Source organism: Homo sapiens, chromosome 4, assembly GCF_000001405.40.
Source record: "Homo sapiens chromosome 4, GRCh38.p14 Primary Assembly".
Classification (NCBI taxonomy): Eukaryota; Metazoa; Chordata; class Mammalia; order Primates; family Hominidae; genus Homo; species Homo sapiens.
The window spans coordinates 34,855,495-34,861,906 of NC_000004.12; the positions used below are offsets into that span (position 1 = coordinate 34,855,495).

A 6,412-nucleotide genomic window follows, 5' to 3' on the forward strand; every position below is an offset into this window, starting at 1 on the left:
AGAATTTTCTTTTTTAATTCACCAAGTTTCTGGTAAATTACTGCAGCAACAAGAGATAACTAATACATAGGGATATGAAGATAAATAAGACATCTGTATTATTTAAGTAGAATAGTAGTAGTATGTATTATGCCATTATTAAAAATGAAAATGATGCTGCTGGTGAAGTTGATACTGGTAATGACAGTGATGACAACTAACACAGCACTTACTGGGTGGTCACTATGCTCTAAGAATTTTTCCAAGTGTTTCCTGTAAATAATTCTATAGCAATACTCTGAGGTAATTTCCCTGTGAGATATTGTCTCTGTTCTACAGACAAGAAAATTAGGGCATAAAAACACTGTGTAACTTACCAAGGATAACAAATCCAGGGAGAGGCAGAACTGGACTTCAAAATCAGACAGCTAACTTTTTGAGTAAGTGTGTCTTAAAAGTAAAATTTGGCCAGAAGGCAAAAGGTAATGTGGATTTCCATGCAGTTTGTGAACTCCTTTGAAAAAAATCTTATTTCTTGGAAAAATTTCTCTTTAATGCAATCAAATTAAAGTAGGGACTAGTTCAAAGAAATCCCAACTACCCTGCTTGGTACAGTAAGGAGAGATGAATTAAATAGAGATGGCCATAATCCTTCCCTGATACAATAGAATCTCTAGCAAAGGAAATGAGTAATTCATAATTTGATTAGCATATGTATCTAAAATTGCTAATTGTGGAGTTTTTAAAATTATGTATTTAATAAAAACAATGAGACGATAGAGACTAGTTATGGAGGTCATCTTTTACTGGATTAAATTACTGGCAAAGATTAAGAACTGATTGGCTGCTAATGACACTGAAATGGTTAAAGTGAAATTAAGATCAGAGCTACCACAAAGTTTGCTTTCAAGAAACTTGAGATACCTTTGATAAGTAGAATTAGATAGCTGCTATATATCTACACACACACACACACACACACACACACGGACGTATACATCCTTGGAACTTAAAATGAGAATCACTATTTGTGAAACATTGGCATATACATGGCATTCAAAATTGCCAAGGTAGTTCAGATCCCTTAGAGAAAAAAGTCAAGGAGAAAGGAAGGCTTGGAATAGAGCCCTAAGCAACATCACCATGTGGAGAGTGAAAGACTGGGAGTCTACAGAAATTTGGAGTATGGCTGAAAAACCTTGAGAGTGGGAGCAAACCAGGGAAAAGATGGGTAATTTAAGGAGAGAGTTGATAGCTCAGTTAAGGGCTGCTGAAATGTTTAAATTTGTCAATAGACACAAACAAACAGAAGTGACTGGTTGGTTTGAGAACAGTCTAGATGTAATGGTTGAGATATCAACAAGAATACATGAAGACTGCAATTCACATGGTTGGTACAGGAAATGGAAATAGCGTGTAGAAGTTTGTCTTATGGGAAGTTTAGATTTGAAGGCAATGAACGAAGTAGAGTAGTTGTCATGCAGAAATGTGGGGATCAGATGGGCTTTCATATTATTTGGATTTATTCTTGAAAATGTAAGGGTTAAAATATATTTCTAGGCACTGCAGAAACGAGAAGCTTATAGTGTGAATGAGATAATCTAAATAAGAAAAATACTTGAGATGGTAAAAGGGAGGATTTGTGGACAGGTTGGTTTTTGATGGTAGAGGGAACTCTGTTCCCTTTAAGCTGTTGGAAAGAAATTATCAATAGCACGGATGCAGGATGGGTAGATTTGTAGATATAAATAGAGAGGATTTGCTAAGTCAGTCCCTGAAAGGAATGAAAATGGAAGAAGATTTGAGAGGTGAAGGGACATCTGTGGAATTGAAATGCAGTGCAGGAAGAAGGGACAGAATGGAGCTTCTGGCAGCAGCAATTGGAACAACTCATGAGAGAGCACTGTCAAATAATGGTGTGAGGAAGTTCACAGATTCTTCCTTCTTCTCAAAATTATTACTACCACACAGTCACACTGTTTGACATGCCACTTTATAGAAACTTGTTCTGTCGTGTTTAAAGTGTCCTCTTTAAGCTACAAGTATCTTGGAGGTTTCATACTAAAATTGCATCTAGTTATTCTAGACTTCTATTAAATGAGCATAATCTAGTATAAATATATATCATTATTTTCTAAATGAGCTGAAATGATCAAACTGAATGAGAACATTGTTGTAGTGACTGAGAGGATGAAGAACTGTAAACAACAAGAAACACCTCAGTGGGCTATTACTGTAATCCTAAACTTACTTGTAAGAAGAGGTAATAGCAAAACAGAACTATTTCCCATTCTGGCGAAGCTTCAACAAGGAAGACAATAATTAGAAGGTAATTAGGTAGCATAATTCACAAGTTGAGATTCTATGATGTATGAGGCTAATGTAATAATGGTGGCATGAAGCTTTCTTTGATATTAGCAATCACTGAAGATTTGGGTTCAGTAGTGCTTAGCAATTAATAGCTTTTCTACCTTTTGTCAGTATTCCTACATACTATACATTTTATCAATCTATATTCTTTATAATTATAACTGGCATTAGAAAATGCCAAATAATACTCCTATTTAACAACCATATTTAATCTATTACAGCATCACCATTTGTTACCTTTGTGAAAATTATGAAGGATGTTATAGACTGAATGTTTGTATCCCCCCAGTTATATTTTGAAATCTTGACCCGCAATGTGATGGTATTAGGAGTTGAAGTCTGCAGGAGGTAATTAAGTCATAAGGGTGGAGCACTCATCAATGGTATTAGTGACTTCACAAGAAGAGACATGAAAGCTTGCTTTCTCTCTGTGTTCTTTACTTTAGAAGGATATGACTGGAAGACAGCCACCTGCAAACCGGAAAGAGAGCTGTCACCAAGAACCTGACTGTGCTGGCACCCTGATCTTGAACTTTCAGCCTCCAGTACTGTTAGAAATCAATGTTGATGGTTTACTCTACCCAGTCTATGGGATTTTTGTTACAGCAGCCCAAACTGATTCAGATGAGGCAACAAGGTAAAACTGCTCCTGAACTTGTGCTTCTCTCTAACAAACATAAAATCATTTGCTAACCCTAGGTCTAGAGTTCCAGTCTGATGTCAATCAGTTCATTGATTTCCAGGCCATACTTTACTGCTTTCACTATTCTTGTAAGTGTTCTTAATGTTCAACACGTGACAGAGAAGCTAGAAATCTAGCACCGAAATTTCTTTTTTTCAAAAGGAACTTTTATTGTTTTTCCTCACAATATTTTTTGACTGTCTTGCTCTGTGTAGCCCAGCCTGGAGTGCAGTCGTGCGATCTAGGCTCACTGCAACCTCTGCCTCCCGGGTTCACACGATTCTCCCTGCCTCAGCCTCTGAAGTAGCTGGGATTACAGACACCCTCTACCACGTCTGGCTAATTTTTGTATTTTTAGTAGAGACAGGGTTTCGCCATGTTGGTCAGGCTGGTCTCAAACTTCTGGACTCAAGTGATCCACCTGCCTCAACCTCCCAAAGTGCTGGGATTATAGGTGTGAGCCACTGCACCCGGCTTGCCCATGGTTTTAGAATTTGTCTCTGTGACATTATCCCCAGATTTCTGTAAACATTGGGAGCCCATTAATATTATTAAGAATCATAACAATGATTTTTTTACATGAAAATAATCTTTAATATTTAGAACATTTCCTTTATTTCACGTTTAATTAAAGAAGACACTTGAAGGGTGTTTGAAGAAAGTCTAGTTTCTTAATATGGGCATAATTATTCATATTTAGGTTGTTTAAAATAGTTTATAGATATGTCTGTTTTCTTCTTATAAAATTAGTACTTACCGCTTGGAGGTTAAACCAGGTATAATTTCTTGAAGCATCTTTGATTCCCTTCAATTGACTGATAGGCTTAAAATTATGGCTCCAAGAACAATTAAATAAGGAACTGTAAGGAGTGGAGGAGGTTTTGATTTAAACAGAAGGTGACATGGAGCAACACAATTTATTGTTGAGAAACTGGAATGTCCTTTTTATACAATGTAAAAAAAATAGTTCTGGTGGTAGAACAAGAGTATTTCATAATTACCTATTGTGCTAAGCCTTTTGCTTACCATCTTAAATAAAATTCAAAATAAAAAAGCTCTCAACAATATTTTTGACAAAATATCCCACACCATTCTTTTTTTTTTTTTTTTTTTGAGACGGAGTTTTGCTTTTGTTGCTCAGGCGGGAGTGTAATGGCATGATCTCGGCTCACAGCAGCCTCTGCCTCCCGATTCAAGCAATTCTCCTGTCTCAGCCTCCCAAGTAGCTGGAATTACAGTGCGTGCCACCATGCCTGGTTAATTTTTTTTTATTTTTAGTAGAGACGGGGTTTCATCATATTGATCAGGCTGGTCTCGAACTCCTGACCTCAGGTGATCTACCCACCTCGGCCTCCCAAAATGCTGGGATTACAGGTGTGAGCCACTGTACCCAGCCTTTAATATCCCACACCATTCTATTCTCATTCCTTGCAGGATGATACTAGGGTATTTAATATTTTTCTGATTTTTATTATTCTTCATTATTTTATTTTTATTTGTAATAGTAATACTGTAGTAGCTGTCTGAAAAATAATGGATTGCAATCTGTTAGGCATTTTTGAGAACAAGAATCAAAAATAGATATATTTCAAAAAGGCCACAGGTTGTGTGTGTGTGTGTGTGTGTGTGTCTGTGTGTATGTGTGTATGTGGTGAGAGAAGATTACATAAATAATATGCAACTCAGTACTACAGACTGAAATGTATCCCCCTGGAAAATTCATATGTTGAAGACTTAACCCCTAATGTGGTGGTATTTGGAGATGAAGCTCTTGAGAAGTAATTAAGGTTTAGATGAGGTCAGGAGAGCGAGGCTGTCATGATAGGATTAGTGCCCCTATAGGAAGGAAAAACAGCATCCTCTTTCTTTCTTTTTCTCTCTCTCTCTCTCGTCATGCAAGGACACAACAAGAAGGCAGACTTCTGCAAGTGAGGAAGAGAACCCTAACCTGTATCCCACCATGCTGACACTCTGATCTCAGACTTTCAGCTTCCAGAATGCTGGAAAATAAAATTATGTTGTATAAGTGACTCAATCTGTGGTATTTTATTAAGGCAGCCAAGTGGATTAAGACAATGAGCATATTTCTTTATTGCTCTTTGGGAGCATCTGGGGTAGGATGTAGCAAGATCTCAGAAGAGATAACTGTGATGAATCAGTAAAGGCTGAATTCAAGACCCAGGTGCTCCAAATATACAAAAAAAATGCATTCTTAATTATTGCATAAAAGCAGCGGAGCTATTGAAACAGAAAGCACCTTGGACATCACTGTAATAACCAGCATGCACAAATGTCCACTAACTGGAGTGGTCTTCTGCAATGAGTAAGAGCTTGGAACTTGGTGAAATCTGAGAAAATGGACCTAGACTCAATAGTCACTGTTAATGAATTTCTTATCGATTCACCAGAGTGTGAATTAAGGATCATACTTTCAAATTTTTAATATTTTTGGTACTCTTGAATTTCTGAACTAACATTCTTACCCTTCTAAATTAAATGAGATGGATTCAAATATATTTTTATCAAAAATATTATCCATTGAGGTTATAAGACCATTGACTATGGCAATAGTCAATATCATGCTTAACAATGAGGATATCTTTTGAGAAATGTATCGTTAGGCAATTTCTCCATTGTGTGAGCATTGTAGACTGCACTTACACAAACCTAGATTGTGTAGCCTACTACACACCTAGGCTATGTAGTAATCTTTTTCTCCCTGGCTGCAAACTTTTAAACTGTTACTGTACTGAATATTGGGAAAAATTGAAACAGTTTGGTAAATACTTTTGTATCTAAATACATCTGAACATAGAAAAGTTACAGTAAAAATATGGTATAAAAATTCAAAAACAATTAATTGCTATAGTTGGAATATTATCCCCCTTTAAAATTCATGTTGAAACTTAATCCCCAATTGGCAGTATTGAGGGTTAAGGCCTTTAAGAGGTGTTTGGATAATAAGAGTTCTGCCCTCCTGAATGGATGAATCCGTTCATGAATTAACAGATTAATGGGTTAATGAATTAATGTGTTATCGTGGGAGTGGAACTGTTGGATTTATAAAAAGAGAAAGAGAGACTTGTGCTAGCATGTTCAGCTTCCTTATTGTGTGAGGCTCTGCACCACCTCCAGAGTATGCAGAGATTCCCCACAAGCAAGAAGATCCTCACCAGATGCGACCTCTCCATCTTGGACTTCTCAGCATTTATAACTACAAGAAATAATTTTTTTTTACTTTATAAATCGACAAGGTTCATGTAATCTGTTCTAAGCAAAGGAAATGGACAAAAGCACTAATCATCAGGGAAATGCAATCAAAACCACAATGAGATACTGCCTCACTATGGTTAGAACGGTTTTTATCAAAAAGAAAACAAA

General features: G+C 36.5%; 1 long non-coding RNA gene across 1 annotated transcript; it reads left to right on the forward strand.

The window, feature by feature from the left end:
* The first annotated feature begins 2,866 nt into the window (after positions 1–2,866).
* Positions 2,867–5,061, forward strand: LOC105378262 (uncharacterized). The gene is made up of 2 exons (XR_001741504.2): positions 2,867–2,986; positions 4,932–5,061. It is a non-coding gene; the product is annotated as an uncharacterized LOC105378262 (long non-coding RNA).
* Positions 5,062–6,412: the final 1,351 nt, after the last annotated feature.